The sequence below is a fragment of the Homo sapiens genome, chromosome 1 (genome assembly GCF_000001405.40).
Source record: "Homo sapiens chromosome 1, GRCh38.p14 Primary Assembly".
Taxonomy (NCBI): domain Eukaryota; kingdom Metazoa; phylum Chordata; class Mammalia; order Primates; family Hominidae; genus Homo; species Homo sapiens.
This window is the reverse complement of record NC_000001.11, coordinates 109570348-109587038: the sequence shown is the minus strand read 5'-3', so window position 1 is coordinate 109587038 and position 16691 is coordinate 109570348. Positions and strand designations below refer to the sequence as shown.

Sequence of the window (16691 nt, the reverse complement as noted above, 5' to 3'; positions counted from 1 at the left end):
TAGGGGCTTTTAATCACAGGCTTAATGCCAATGCCACTACCACTGAATACTCTCCCAATCAATCATTAAAAAAAAAAAGGCAGTTTTATGAATGCCACCAAAGTGTTGATCTAAGTAAGATGTGTACCTCCAATAAAATCTTTCATAACCCCTTACCTGTGTATTCTGGATAACAGATAGTTAACGGACTCCTCTTTATTTTTTCCTCAAAAAGGTCTTTCTTGTTAAGGAAGAGAATGATTGAAGTTTCTGTAAACCATTTGTTATTACAAATGCTGTCAAACAGTTTCATGCTTTCATGCATTCGGTTCTGAAAAAGAAATAAAGGATGATAGGTCAGTAGCAAATAGTAAAAGTGGATTAAGTTAATGAAAAAGACAAACCAACAAGTTTTGCAGCACTAAATGGCATTCACGGAAATAAGTCAAACACCAATAAGATAAAGTTGAGTGTCAGTCCTCATTTTTGTAATTTTTGGGGGAGAGGAGGTAGGAGGAAGGGCTGGCTAACATCCTTTCCACATACTCAAGGTGGCTATAACATCTTTTTTAGAGTAATAGGGCACAGATCAAAAAAATTAAAGATACTAAGTTTTGGTTGAATGAGGAAATGGATGCAGATAATCTTCCTAATAAGTTATTTTCCATTTCCTGGCTACATTAGACAGGCTTTTTACCAGAAGCTCCAACATACCATCTCCTCGTCCTCAGCCAGAACAAGGTCATAATCACTGAGGGCCACACAGAAGATAATTGCTGTCACTCCCTCAAAACAGTGAATCCACTTTTTTCGTTCTGATCTTTGGCCACCTACATCAAACATCCTGCGCAAGGGGAAAGAAAGCAAATTCAGCAAGGTCACACATACACCTTCCCCTAAACTGAAATGATTAGGAAACTTCCCACTATTACATATTCAAAACTTCATTTATAATAGAAGAAAAAGAATAGATTAAATGCAGTCAAAATAATTATCCTGGCTAAAAGTACAAGACAACAACATGAGAAAATAAAACTTGTGAATAATCTAGATTCTCATTTTAGATAGCTGAGCCTCTTCTCTATCAAAGCTTGTACCAGATGTGTGAAAAGTCAGCAGAATAAGCACTGAAATGGATTAAAGGAAGGAGGGGAAAAGACAGGAAAAGCAAAGAGCTAAATAAAACAGTTTGAGATAATAATAATAATGGTATATTTATTGAGTGCTTACCATGGTGCCAGACACTACTACTAAACATCTTAACTCATTTTGCCCTTGTAACACTCCTAGAAGTACTATTATTATTATCCCAATTATACAGATAAAGAAATTGAGGCACATTCAATGTTAAATGATTTGCTCAAAGGTACACTACTAACAAACAGGGACTGGGGATCTGAACCTAGGCACTCTAACTCCAGCACCCATGTTCTGACTCTCAAAATGGTTTGCCTCTAAATGCCCTATTTGCACTCTGCTTCCATAACTTCTCCCTATTAAGTTTGTTTTCCTTACCTTAAAAAAAAAATTAGAGATTAATTGTAAAAACAAATAAATTATATTTTTATGGTAGGATTCTATGAACCCAATAACTAAAAAACAGCCTTGACCAATATTTCCAAACTCCGAGTCTTACTTAAACCTAATTAATAAAGTCTCAACTGTTCACAAACTTTATGTTACACTCCATATTAGTTTTAGTCCAATACTGTCTTCTGGGTGACTTACTTGGTATTCTGAGTCAACTGCTGAACTTCTATCAACAGCATCCTCAACTACCTCCTATAGTAAAAAGATCTGCACTGCTTTGTGTTTTAGCTGATACTTAGGTCTAATGATGTACACATGCAAATTGTTACTTGTGATCGGTGTTTGAAGAAAATGACACAATTTTTAAAGGCTAAACTCTGCCAAACTGGTTTAATGTATAAGATCTATAGTGACTAGAGGCCTACATTTCCAGAGATGTTTTCCCCCAGAAATTGAAAGAAATAAGACACAGTTGGTGATTTCTCAATGTATGCTTGAAAGGAATTATCTCTTTATGACCCAACTCTTCCTTTGGGTTGATCTTGCACGATTCTTTTTGACCTTTGGTCATGACACCTGAAATGATGTAATCACAAGTTGGCTTTAATATAGGGTCACAATACAGGTTTTAGGAAGGCTAACATCATATATTTCACCATGGAGGTCTCAAGGGGAGACACACCAGTAACTTCAATTTACTCCCCCATTTTCTTCTACAAAGTCTGTATAACACTGTGAAGTTCCAAGGTGGGCTTTTAGCACATATTAACATTTACAATATCATTCACTAAGAGATCAACATTTTATAAACATTACCTCATTAACTGAGAGGCAAGTAAGCAATTACACAATGCCTTGCATATGGTAGATGCTCAATAAATGTTTGAATAAATGGATAGTAGTTTTGCCTAGAGAGAAGAGGAAAAGGAAGAAATGATAGTACTTCATAACAAGATATCTACATGCCAACAATCAAGTAGGTGTGGCACCTTAATTAGATCTGGCTATTGATCATGGCATAAAAAGACAGGACAGTTAGGATTTGCCTAACTAAAGACTGATTTATATAACAACACCAATAAGAAAGTTTCCAACACTAAATAATGATCACAACTTTTAATTATAAGTAGATTACAAACCTTATACAAAGAAATCTCATTCTTATGGTCTCACGAGTGATAATCCATGTGGTCTTTGCTGCTCTTGCTAAATAAATTCATCAGTACTAAAGATAAGCAGCAAGTCTATTCTAAAAGCATTCATAGCTGAACTGCTATTTTCCTGCACCAGGAAAAAATCTAGTTTGGTGTATTAGGATTTCAAGACCCCAACTGGTATCTAGTAATACGTAAACCCTATGTGGATTTCACAAATCCTGTGGAACAGTTGTTTTCAGAGAAAGAACTGAGAGGATTTGAGGTAGTAGTTACATCTGTATGCAATAATAACAAACATCACATTCTACATATAAGCATAATGCCATAACTAAAGAACACATGGTATATTGAAGGGGAAAAGTTTACTCCTAATCTCAAAGGTCACAAAAGAAGAAAATGGGAACCAAAATAAACATTTCTAATATTTATAAAAGACCATTAACACAGAGACAAGCTGAGGCTTGTTTTAGAATTACTAATGTTGCTGGGTGTGGTGGCTCACACCTGTAATCCCAGCACTTTGGGAGGCCAAGGTGGGCGGATCACCAGGTCAGGAGATAGAGACCATCCTGGCTAACACGGTAAAAGCCCATCTCTACTAAAAGTACAAAAAAAAAAAAAAAAATTAGCCGGGCGTGGTGCAACGCACCTGTACTCCCAGCTACTCAGGAGGCTGAGGCAGGAGAATCACTTGAACCCGGAAGGCAGAGGTTGCAACGAGCCGAGATCGCACCACTGCACTCCAGCCTGGCAACAGAGCAAGACTCCATCTCAAAAAAAAAAGAATTACTAATGCTAATGAGAAAGTTATTTGTATTAGAATACTAGAATTTTCTCTCTCTAAAACAATCACAGTTGGGCTGGGCACGGTGGCTCACACCTGCAATCCCAGCACTTTGAGAGGCTGAGGTGGGAGAATAGCCTGAGCCCAGGAGTTTGAGACCAGCCTGGGCAATAAAGAGAGATCCTGTCTCTACATAAAATTTTTTTAAAACATTAGCCAGGCACAGTGGCATGAGCCTATAGTCCCAGCTACTTGGAAGGCTGAGGCAGAAGGATCACTTGAGCCCAGGAGGTCAAGGTTGCAGTGGGCTGTGATCACACTACTCCACTCTAGCTTGGACGACAGAGTACGACCCTGTCTCTAAAAAAATAAAAATTTAAAAACAAACCAAAAAAATCACTGTTTATATGTCATCTTACCAACCCAAAATACCTCTATCCCCAAGTCTATTTTCCATTCTGCACTGTATTAAGAAGTTAATTGTACATGACACTATGCACAAATTACTTTAAGAGCCATGACAATACTTGCTCCATTCCATTCAACTTGAAGGGAAATTCAAACCAATAAGAAGTGACACTGGTGAGAAAAGCATTTCTATTTTAAATCAAAATGGCAAAACAAAACCATGTAACTAACCGAAAAAAAACTGGTTTTCATAAGTTTAATATTGTTATCCTATTAAACATTCAATATCTGAATTGGTGAGTCTAACAAAAAAGCAGCTGAAAATAATAAAATTAAAACAAACCAGTTATCACAGGAAAAATTTTACTGGGAGGCAAGTTAAATTTATTTTTGAATTTAAATTCCTCTAAAAGGACACAAACATTTGACGCTATTTGGAGAAACAAGAGATGTTTGGGCCCCCATTCAGTTAAAATATTCAAACAATGCTGATAAATATGTTAAGTTTAAACCAAGGAATACTGCCCAGAGAAATTTTACCCTGATTAAGAGATGGTAAACTAAAATGAAAGATACTTGTATTTGGCACACCTAGCAAAAAGGCTAATGACTTACTTGAAGTATAGGTCTTTGAAGGTGAAATGTGTTTCTACAATGCCTGTGGTCTTCACTCTCGTCCGAAGAACATCTTGCTGAGTTGGAATGTAGTTAGACTGGGATATTCTATCCAGATCATTTAGATAACTAAATAAAAGACACGTTTACTTTTACTTGGTGAAGCCAACCATGTGCATAGCAAATGAACAGACTAAATTAGTTCCTATTTTAAACCTGTTACTAGTTATTAAGTGGCAAAACAGAATCAGATCTTCAGTATCATAGAAATGATAAGCCAGGCATGGTGGCTCACACCTGTAATCCCAACACTCTGGGAGGCCAAGGCAGGAAGGTCGCTTGAGGCCAGGAGTTCAAGACCAGCCTGGGCAACATAAAGAAACCCGTCTTTACAAAATATTTTAAAAATTAGCTAAGCATGGTGGTGCATGCCTGTAGTCCTAGCTAATCCTCCTACCCTTGAGTGAAGCAGGAGGATCACTTGAACCCAAGAGGTCAAGGCTGCAGAGTGCCACTGTACACCAGCCTGAGTGACAGAGTGAGACCCCCGTCTCTTAAAAAAAGAAAGAAATAATAAGAAAAAATATGAATCCAACATAGGACAATTAAAGTATAGAGTCTATATATATTAACAAAAGTAGGTTTTTTTGTTTTGTTTTGTTTTGTTTTGTTTTTTTGAGACAGAGTCTTACTCTGTCACCCAGGCTGCAGTGCAGTGGTGCGAACTCGGCTCACTGCAACTTCCGCCTCCTGGGTTCAAATGATTCTCCTGCCTCAGCCTCCTGAACAGCTGGGATTACAGGTGCCCGCCACTACGCCCAGCTAATTTTTTGTATTTTTAGTAGAGATGGGGTTTCACCATGTTGGCCAGGCTGGTCTCAAACTCCTGACCTCAGGTGATTCGTCTGTCTCGGCCTCCCAAAGTGCTGGGATTACAGGCGTGAGCAACCGCGCCCGGACACAAAAGTAGGTTTAATTCTACAGAATTAAATTGTGAAGGCCAATTTAAAAAATTAAAACAATAGGAACAGGAAATGTTCTTATTAAAGAAAAATTCCTGAAATGTAATACTAAATCAACTGTGTACTGTATAATATCAAAACCAAACTATACCAAAAGTCCTCAGACAATTAAACTCAATAGGTCATGCGTGTTTAACCATTTGACAGGACATTAGAGAATGGTGTTTGATTAACTAAAATTGAGAGAACTATAGTGAGTAAGAATATTTTCCGTTTTCTTTCAGTAAACAGAAGAGCTGGGGAGGTCTGGGGTTTTTTTTTTTAATCTAAATCAAAAACAAATTGTAAATACCTCCAAAAAAATTAATTTGTTCAGGGAAATAATTAAAAGACTGCTTCAAAACTGTATTCTTTGCTGATTCCAGGCTAGAAAACTGATGAGCAGATGGCACCAATGTAAGTGAATCATTAATGATCTATAAAACCAAATACTATCACTAATGTAAAGAGGCAAGCTTAGATCAACAGTTATGAAAATCTCTATAAGCACATGTAGTTAGAGGATTCAGAGCTTTCTGAATGAAAGATGAAAAAAAGCAATTATAATCTACCTTTGATGACCACTGGTAGAATTATTTAAGCTATCAATACTTGCAACTAAGATGTTATTAAAAGGTAGGCAAGAATCCTGAAACGTTTCTAAAGCCAAGTTCTCATTGAAAGAATAAGCAAGTTTTCAAATACAGTCATGTGCTGCATAACAATGTTTTGGTCAACAACAGACTGTATAAATGTATGCTAGTGATCCTGTAAGATTATAATGGAGCTGAAACACTCCTAGCCCCAGTGACATCATAGCCATTGCATTACCCTTTTATATGTTTAGAGATGCTGAGATACACAAATACTTACCATTATGTTACAATTGCCTACAGTATTTAGTACAATAACATGCTGTACAGGTTCATAGCCTAGGAGCAACAGGCTATACCATATAGCTTAGGTGTGTAGTAGGCTATACCATCTAATTCTGTGTACGCATACTCTACAATGTTCACACAATGACAAATCACCTAATGATGCATTTTTCAGAAAGTATCCCTGTCCTTATGCACAGCCTGACTATATCATTTAATTTCTTCTTGTAACAATTTAAGCTAGAATCATGACGTGAAAAGTAGGAAAACAGTAATATTGGAGAAAAAACTTTAATGCTTAAACGTGCCCTCATCCAGTACAGAGAGAAATACAGATAACAAGTGCTCACCAGGCCCCGCAAAAGTACATTAAAAAAAAATACATTCCGGACCAGGCACGGTGGCTCACGCCTGTAATCCCAGCACTTTGGGAGGCAGAGGTGGGTGGATCACGAGGTCAGGAGATCGAGACCATCCTGGCTAACACGTTGAAACCCCGTCTCTACTAAAAATACAAATTAGCCGGGCATGGTGGCGGGCGCCTGTAGTCCCAGTTACTTGGGAGGCTGAGGCAGGAGAATGGTGTGAACCTGGGAGGTGGAGCTTGCAGTGAGCGGAGATGGAGCCACTGCACTCCAGTCTGGGCGACAGAGCGAGACTCCGTCTCAAAACAAAAAAAATACATTCTGAATCTAGGTTTCATAAATAAGTATATGTAAAAGAGGTAAAATAGGATAACATGTAATAGCTTAATATAAGTATTCATTACAAATTCTCTAAAACTATATTAACACTCAAGATAATATCCTTGACAAAAAGATACTTCAACTTCATTCCATGACTCAACCTTCTCTTTCTATACAAAGTCTACTACTGTGATCTGGCAAAAGGGTTACTAGTGAAGTCCATAGTGCGGCCCAGACACAGAGAGCTGGCTGCATAAAAAGGAATACCACTATTCTAATTTCCCTCTCTAGCTGGCTATCAGTGCCAAGCCCTTACACAGAGGGAACTTATGAGTTGGAACAGATTCAGAACCCAGCCACAACAGATGTCTCTCCTCCTTCACTTGCTTATAATAAAATGCCATGGAACTAATTTTGTGGTGCCAAGTCTCCCATTTACATTCCAAGAGGGAACTTTTTTCTCCAAATCATACAAATGACCAAGGGCTCTATAATCCTAAACTTAGACAATTTTTATAAAGTATCCTATAAACGTCTAAGAGTGTCTATTACTTAAACATTTCCTTAAGTGGGGACTAAAATTTCTGTAGTGTCACCAAGTTATTCTCTGTTATAGTTTCACAGAGAAAAATTACTTACTATGAAGCAGAATCATTGAGCTGATATTCCCTGGATCTGCTGAAGCAAGCTTGTACCCCACCATCTCGCCATAACCGTTTAATCACTCCTGCTAGTTCTGGAGTCATGACTCCTTCTTCAGCACTGCCAGCTAAAACAAATAATTGCCGGGCATCATCCTGAAGAAAGCAGTTAAGAAAGAGACAGATGACTCTCCATTTCTTTAAGACTTGATGACAGTCTCTTTAAAATATAGACACATTACATGTTATGTTAAAAGAGGTGTTGTTACAGAGACCTTTTCTGACAGGCCAGCATGACAGAATTTATAATTAAGTCTTTCCTTATTCTCATTTCACTACAGTTTTAAGTCCAGAACTGAGCTGAGGAATGATTTTACTTCCCCACCACTCCTCCACACACCACCATCCCCAGAAAAGATCATTTCTGGCCAGCCCACAAATCTCCATCCAGATTGCTAATAATTTTTGAGAGAAAAAAACTGGTTTATGAGACAGGATTATGTAAAACATTCCCGTTCTATTAAAGGAAGCCTACACTAAAAATAGAAATAAAAAGACTAGCACATAAGAGGTAAAGTCTAAACACCTCAAAGGGAGTAAAACATTAATCAAGTTTAAGAAAAAAGTATTCTCTTCTTTGCCTTCAGCCCAGACAGTAGAACAAGAAGAGGAGATGGAGGCACTTAAGGTCTAGAAGCCTAATGGGGGAAATAAATCCCTCAGGGAAAGATTCAAACAGTCCCTAGATTTCCCTAAAGGAATAAGGAATAATAATAATGTTCTGAGAGAGGGAAAGGAAGGGAGCAGGAGGAAAAGAAAGTAACCATAACTTCATGAGTCATAGCCATGGTTTTCTTTATTTCTTTTCTTTTTTTTTTTTTTTTTTTTTGAGACGGAGTTTCGCTCTTGTCACTCAGGCTGGAGTGCAATGATGTGATCTCGGCTCCTTGTAACCTCCGCCTCCTGGGTTCTAGCGATTCTCCTGCCTCAGCCTCCCAAGTAGCTGGGATTACAGGCATCTGCCACCATGCCCAGCTAATTTTTCTATTTTTAGTAGAGAGGGGTTTCGCCATGTTGGCCAGGCTGGTCTCGAACACCTGACCTCAGGTGATCCACTCGCCTCAGCCTCCCAAAGTGCTGGGATTACAGGCGTGAGCCACTGGGCCCAGACATAGCCATAGTTTTCTAGGTGGTTATAGTTTTTAAACATAAAATATGTGAGGGAGAGGACAGAAATGGATTATGAGATTTTTATTGTTTTCCTTTATTCTATCCATCCCTACTTGTTGGTTTAAAATTAAACACAGGTCTCACGGGATGATTTTCCCATCCACATCTAATATTTATCTACCTTGAGAGATTCCAAATAACTATAAAAATAAAAAATTTAAAAAGTATATAACGTGTAAAGAAAAAGTAAAGGAGAAAGGGGAGCAATCATTTGTATCTTAAGTAGTCATCAAGACAAATAAACTAACAAGCAAAAGTCATTTCAGACCACAGGTGAACTCACAACCTAAAACTCCAAAGACTTGTGAATTACCAGAACTTGTGCATCCACCTTAGCAAAACAAAACCATCCATGGTGCACTCAAATTATTTTTGCCAAACTCTGGGTCTCCAGCTCTAATGGTTTTTACCTAGTAATATTTCCTCCTTTATGATCCTTTCCTGTATTCTTTCTAGTAATATTTAGGCTCAACCCACTCTCATTTAGCTTCTGAGATCAGGCGCATTCAGGGTGGCATGGCGGTAGACTAGGCTCAACTCTAAGACACCTTAGCTGGTCGGGCATGGTGGCTCACACTTGTAATCCCAGCATTTTGGGAGGCCGAGGCGGGTGGATCACAAGGTCAAGAGATTGAGACCATCCTGGCCAACATGGTGAAACCCCATCTCCACTAAAAATACAAAAATTAGCTGGGCATGGTGGCGTGTGCCTGTAGTCCCAGCTACTCGGGAGTTTGAGGCAGGAGAATTGCTTGAACCCAGGAGGCGGAGGTTGCAGTGAGCTGAGATGGTGCCATTGCACTCTAGCCTGGGCGACAGAGCAAAACTCCATCTCAAAAAAAAAAAAAAAACAAAAAAAACACCTTAGCTAAGATCTATATGCCCCTCCCTTTCTTTTCAAAGATAAAATTTTAAACAAATGAATGAGAAAAGTTGAAATATTAGACAAATTGGCAAACATACTCAGCAGTGAGCATGTCCTTGTACATATGCAAGGTATGGTGCTTTATCTAACATGTGAAGTCTTCATAATCCCCTGGTTCTGAAATTTGACCTATACCCATGCACGTATTCAAATAACCTTATTAAGCACTACTTTAAAAAAAAAAAAAAACAGAAAAAAACCATGACTCTAATTTTAGAAACTTCAAAAGAGAGGGAATTATTACTACTTTTTTTGCTGTCCTGACTCTTTAAATATTCTTTTAGGAGCAAACACTTTTTTCTTATCACTTAATTTCTTCCACTGACCTGCTCTTGCTTCCCCACAATAAACCCTCTCTAAAGGTCTATAAAGAGGTGCCTCTTGGCTGGGCATGGTGGCTCACGCCTGTAATCCCAATACTTTGGGCAGCCAAGGCAGATGGATCACCTGAAGTCAGGAGTTCCAGACCAACCTGACCAACATGGAGAAACCCCCGTCTCTACTAAAAATACAAAAAAATTAGGCGGGCATGGTGGTGCATGCCTATAATCCCAGCTACTCGGGAGGCTGAGGCAGGAGAATCGCTTGAACCCAGGAGGCAGAGGTTGCGGTGAGCCAAGGTCACACCATTGCACTCCAGCCTGGGCAACAAGAGTGAAACTCTGTCTCAAAAAAAACAAAAAACAACAACAAAAAAAAAAACAGAAGAGGCCCCTCTTTACAATAAACTTCACACCTCCACACTTAAGCAGATGTGAAAAAGGAACCTATTCCACACTCAGCTCTATTTTTTTTCCATTCACACTCTCTAACCAACTATAAAAAACTAGAGTAGAAGCCGGGCACAGTGGCTCACACCTGTAATCCCAGCACTTGGGGAGGCCAAGGCAAGTGGATCACCTGAGGTCAGGAATTCAAGACCAACCTGGCCAACATGACGAAACCCCATCTCTACTAAAAATACAAAAATTAGTCAGCCGTGGTGGCAGGCGCCTGTAATCCCAGCTCCTTGGGAGGCTGAGGTAGGAGAATCACTTGAATCCAGGAGGCAGAGGTTGCAGTGAGCCAAAATCGTACCGTTACACTCCAGCCTGGGTGACAAGAGCAAAACTCCGCCTCAAAAAACAAACAAACAAAAATACTAGAAGACAATAAGAGAGGAGCTATAAACATAAAACCTTACACACAGAAGGAAAAATAAAAAGCAATGTTTAAAAATTATAATATAGGATTACAGACTAGGTTGTGTGGACACCAGAAAGCTGGATGATTTAGGAGGCCTGAGAGGGACTAATGATGTCAACTGCATCTGGTGACACAAGAGTATTAGGATACAAAGATTAATGACAATTGATTTGATAATGGAAAGAAATGGGGCCGGGAGCGGTGGCTCACGCCTATAATCCCAGCACTTTGGGAGGCCGAGGCGGGCGGATCACAAGGTCAGGAGTTCGAGACCAGCCTGGCCAACATGGTGAAACTCCATCTCTACTAAAAATACAAAAATTAGCTGGGCGTGGAGGTGAGCGCCTGTAATCTCAGATACTCAGGAGGCTGAGACAGGAGAATCGCTTGAACCTGGGAGGCAGAGGCTGCAGCCAGCCATTGCATTCCAGCCTGGGCGACAGGGCGAGAGTCCGTCTCCAAAAAAAAAAAAAAAAAAAAAAAAAGAAATGAAAGGGTAGGGAGATAAATAAAGGAAGACAGACGGCGGGGAATAAAATTAAAGAGGGAAAGAGAAAAGGGACAAACTAAAAGAATAAATAACTGAGACAGAGAAAAAACCAACAGAGAGAAGGAAGAGAATAAATACAGTACTACTGACCAGTTACCAGATACAACAAATACAACAGAGAAGTAGAGTTAGGTGATAGGGAGAAATGAGAAAAGGGAGGAAGAAAAAATAAGACCACAGATAGAGCTGGTATAAAGAAGAAAAAGAGGAAAAGAAGGAAACAAAAGCAGGGGGTGAGAGAAGGAATAGGAAAGGGTAAGACAAGGATAAAGGCTTTATTTTTGCTTGACTGCCAAACTTCCCTGCTCAGATGCATAGAAAAATAGTCTCTGTGATATATTTCACAAAAATATAAAAGTCACATTCACATATTTTCTTATTTTTTGATACAAGTCTCTCATTTCACAATCCCTAATCCAGCTCCTCTTCCTTTATGCCATTTCTAAGACACTTTCTAGTCTAACACTATCCAACTGTGACTACCCTTTCAGTATTTCCCCTCAACAATTTCCTATCTTTTTATCAAATATAAATTCGCATTTGATAAGTTGGGAGTGGCTTATGAGAGTTCCTAAGCAACTTCATAGACATATAGGTTTTGCCTTTCCAGGCAGACCTCCCAAATCATTTCCTTTTATTTCGCCATGGCACATAAGTATGACACTCTGAACACAGCCAGTGAGTCCCTTAGATGTAGGAAATAATTCTATAATTTCCCAGCCTTCTCTGGATTTTAGCTGATAATAATATCAAAGATCTCCTGCCTTCATATTGGCACCCTCCCCAATGGCATAAAACATCCTAATTACACATGCTCTAATTTTATAAACTAGATCTTCAGGGTCCACTAAGTATTATTATAATAATACAACTTTTTAAATAGCTGACATGTGCAAGGCATTAAAGAATTATACTAGGGCATGTTATACTCCAATTCTATAGCCTTAGGTTCCATGTAGTATACAGTATTCTTGAATATCTGACTTAGATATTCAAGAATTTGGACTTAGTGCTCATGTCCTTACAGAATTTATTCTGGGAGACTGATTTTGGCCTTTAATCTGTACACCTCAGAAAGCAGAGCTACATATCATGGCAACCTTTCTCTTAGATTATTTTAATGTACTATTATCTACTACTATAAAAGTCAACAGTGCTGTTAAAAAAAAAAAAAAAGCAATTGAATAGAACAGTTATCCCAGAAACCTACCGTGCACCCACAGAATCCCATTTCCTAGGCTCCTCTTGGGGTGGTTATATCTAACACCTGCTAAAGTAGATTGCTAACATTTCTCAAGTGAGCACAAAGTACTTTGCTACATTTTATCTTGTTGCTTAAATTCATTTCCCTAAAACATGAAGCAAAAATTTTGCTTAACTTAACTGTATCTGCTGAATAAGAGCAAGTGAAGAGGAAATGAGAAACACTTACTGCCCTGGCAGCTTCCCCAAAGTCAATCTTTAGCCGTCCCATGGCTCTTATGATTGCAATGATGGACTGTATAGTATTGCTGTAGACAACTACTTTATATTGTTTACATTCATCCTCTGAATAGCCATCCTCATGAATGATTCTTTAAAACAAAGAAAACCACAAGTCAATACCATGGACCTAAAATGAAAAGATACTATGGACTTTATATGCATTAGGAGAAATCCTAGTCTAACAAAACGCTACATTCCAACTTACTTCATCTGTTTCACAATGGTGCTTTTACCAGATTCTCCAGCACCTGTAAGAAAAGAAAACCAGACTTTGAATTTCTCGGTAATCAACATAAAAGTATAATATCAACATGAATGATAACTCTAGATTGATGAAAACCACGGGTCCTAGGGAAAATTTTGGTGAGGCTTTCATGTCTATCAAGAAAATGTATGGAGCTTCTCCACTACAGCATTTTGCTTTCTTTACATAACTCAGCAACCAAGTATAATTTATTGAAAGTGTCCTAGGGCTTGCTTGGTATCATTTGTGTAAAATAGGCATATCCAAGGACAGATGGCAACATAAACTTTTGGAGGAACTCATTCACTACATAAAACATGATATAAACACTGAACATGGGCAAAAATGAAATCATTATTTTTTGGTCTATTCATTTTTATTAATTCCTCTGTTGCTGCCTGCCTATACCACAGAAATGTTCTGAGAGCAATACTACCAGTCACAGGACTAAAGATGTTTCAAATAGAAGCAGAAAAGGCATTGTTCCTATCAATTTCTCACCATATGTCATCTCAAGACCACCCTGCCCTCCTTAGCCAGCTGGAATCACTTTAAACAAATGACCACAAATGTCAAGCTAGCCTTCTGACCTCCTTGACAAATCCACCTGCTAGATCTTCCCTAGTCAACTCATTTTCCTATCTTCCAAGATGCCTATATCACACCACCTCCTCTCTCTCAAATTTTATAAACCCCCTCCCAATTCTGACTCTCAACTGATGATCCTACCCTACTTTTCCATAAAAATTAAAGCAATCAGAAAAAACTACATTTTCCCACAACGACATCTACCAGTCTATCTGTACCTCCATTAATATTCTCTACCTTCATCAATGGATGAAAAGTCTCTGCCAATGTTTTAAAATCAACTTCTCCCCTTATGCACCTTCATTTTACCTACTCAAGGTCATGGCTGCTGCAATTTCCCATGATATTTTCCACATCTCAAATATGATCAGTTTTTTCTTTCCACTGGGTCATTCTCATCAGCATGCAAACTTACTATACTATTTTCCATCTTTAAATCAACACACATACACACCCCTAACTTTCCTTGACCCCACACATTTTCTTCTAGCTACCACACCATTTTCTCTATCCCTCTTTGCAGCAAAACTCCTCTAATGTGCCATCTATACTCAGTGCCTCCAATTTCGTACATCCAATTCTGTCCTTCAGCTATGCTAATCAGGCTTTCATCCCCACCACTCTAATAAAACTACTTCTCAAGGTCTCCAAAAACTTCCATCTTGACAAACCCAGTTGGTCAATTCTTGGTGCTCATCTTAGCCTCTCAAGCAGAATTTGTCTAAGTTGAAATATTTTCTTCACTAGGCAGGCTTCTAGCCAACATACCCTTCAGGTTTGATTCCTACTTCACTCCTCAATCTCCTCTCTCCAGTTTCTGAATTATTATTATTATTATTATTTGAGATGGAGTCCCGCTCTGTAGCCCAGGCTGGAGTGCAATGGTACAATCTCGGCTCACCGCAACCTCCGCCTCCCAGGTTCAAGCAATTCTCCTGCCTCAGCCTCCTGAGTAGCTGAGATTACAGGCGCCTGCCACAACACCCAGCTGATTTTTGTATTTTTAGTAGAGACAGGGTTTTTCACCATATTAGCCAGGCTGGTCACAAACTCCTGACCTCAGGTGATCTGCCCGCCTCAGCCTCCTAAAGTGCTAGTATTACAGGCGAAAGCCACCGCACCCAACCCAGTTTCTGAATTCTAAAGGTTATATTGCTTCAGGGGTCCCTCCTTGGCCCTTTTCCCTATCTAAACTCATTCTCTAAGTTATCTAATCTCATGGTCTTTATTTTTTGGAGACAGACTCTTGCTCTGTCACCCAGGCTGGAGTGCAGTGGCGCAATCTTGGCTCACTGCAACATCTGCCTCCCAGGTTCAAGTGATTCTCCTGCCTCAGCCTCCTGAGTAGCTGGGACTACAGGCACACGCCACCACACCTGGCTAATTTTTGTATTTTTAGTAGAGACGGGGTTTCACCATGTTTGCCAGGCTGCTCTCGAACTCCTGGGCTCAAGCGATCCACCTGCCTCGGCCTCCCAAAATGCTGGGATTACAGAAGTGAGCAATCGCACCCGGCCCTAATCTCATGGCTTAAACACTATTCAAAAACTGATCCTAACAGTTAACATCTAGTGAGTACCCTCGGCCACACTGTTCTAATCACTTTGTTTGTAATAACTAATTTAATCCTCACAATAACCCTATGAGGTAGACATTATTACCCCCATTTTACAGATGAGATAAATGATGCAGACAGATGTCAAGTAACTTGCCTATAATTACACAGTTAGTAAGTGGCAGAACTGAAATTTGCATTCACAGTTTGGCTCCAAAGCTGGTGTATACTGTCTCTATACTAATGATTTCCAAATTTAGATCTCTAATCTTGGCTTCTAACCTTGGCTCCAGATTCATATATCTAAACCATCTACCTGATATTAGATTTCTAGTAGGTATTTAGATTTCACAAACCTAAAATGCTCAAAACTGAGATACTGATTCCCCAACTCACTCTCACCTCAAAACAAACCCTGCTCCTCCCTCAGTCTTCTCATTCCAGTAAATGGCACCAACATTCACCAGTTGCTCAAGCCAAAAATGTTAAATGACATGTGACTAACGTGCAGATAAGACAAGGATGCCAGTGCCAATCTGTATATTAAATATTAGTAAAGCTTAATTTTTTTAAATAAAGCAATATAAATAGTTAATATAATAGTTTTAACAGTTTGTTCCTGAACATTGGAAACCATAGGCCTAGATCACTGCAAAAGCTTCCTAAATAGTTCAGTGCTTCAGACCTTGCCTTTTCTAAAGCCAGTTTGCCAGTCAGTAGGTGGAATAAACTTTGTAAAATGTAAATTAGATCTTGTCACACGATCTTCAATTATACTCAAAATCCATGGGCATTATGGTGCAATATGCTCTGGCCCCTGCCTACCTCTTCACCCTCATCTCTTGTTACTCTCCACTTTGTCCTCACAGCTCTTGTCAGACCAGCATTCTTGCTTTTCCTCCAACATACCAAACCGGTTCTTACTGAGTTAGGTCCTGACTCTGTCTTTCCTGTCTTTGCGTTTACTGTTACCTGAAATAAGTTTTGCAAGATTTTCTTCCTCACAGGAACAGCCTTTTCTGACTAATCTATCTAAATAGCTCCCACCCCGTCACAGTCTCTCCCCTTATTCTGTGTTATATTTTTTCATAGCACTTACCACTTCTTCACATGACAGATTAGCTCATTTCTTATCTTCCCCACTAAAATATAAGCTCCATGAAGGCTTATTCATCCCTGCATTCCCAGGGCCTTAAACTGGTCATGACATAAATTATCTACTCAAATAAATATTACTAAACAATGAATAA

General features: G+C 39.0%; 1 protein-coding gene across 1 annotated transcript in view; it reads right to left on the bottom strand.

Moving 5' to 3' along the window:
* The window catches only part of GNAI3 (G protein subunit alpha i3), a 51581-nt gene that overhangs the window by 13157 nt on the left and 21733 nt on the right, over positions 1–16691 (bottom strand). The window contains exons 2-7 of the mRNA NM_006496.4: positions 13260–13302; positions 13002–13143; positions 7678–7835; positions 4474–4602; positions 694–823; positions 157–310 (exon numbers count right to left, since the gene is read on the bottom strand). Of these exons, the coding sequence (NP_006487.1) occupies positions 157–310; positions 694–823; positions 4474–4602; positions 7678–7835; positions 13002–13143; positions 13260–13302 (756 nt within the window). The remainder of the gene's footprint in view (positions 1–156; positions 311–693; positions 824–4473; positions 4603–7677; positions 7836–13001; positions 13144–13259; positions 13303–16691) is intronic.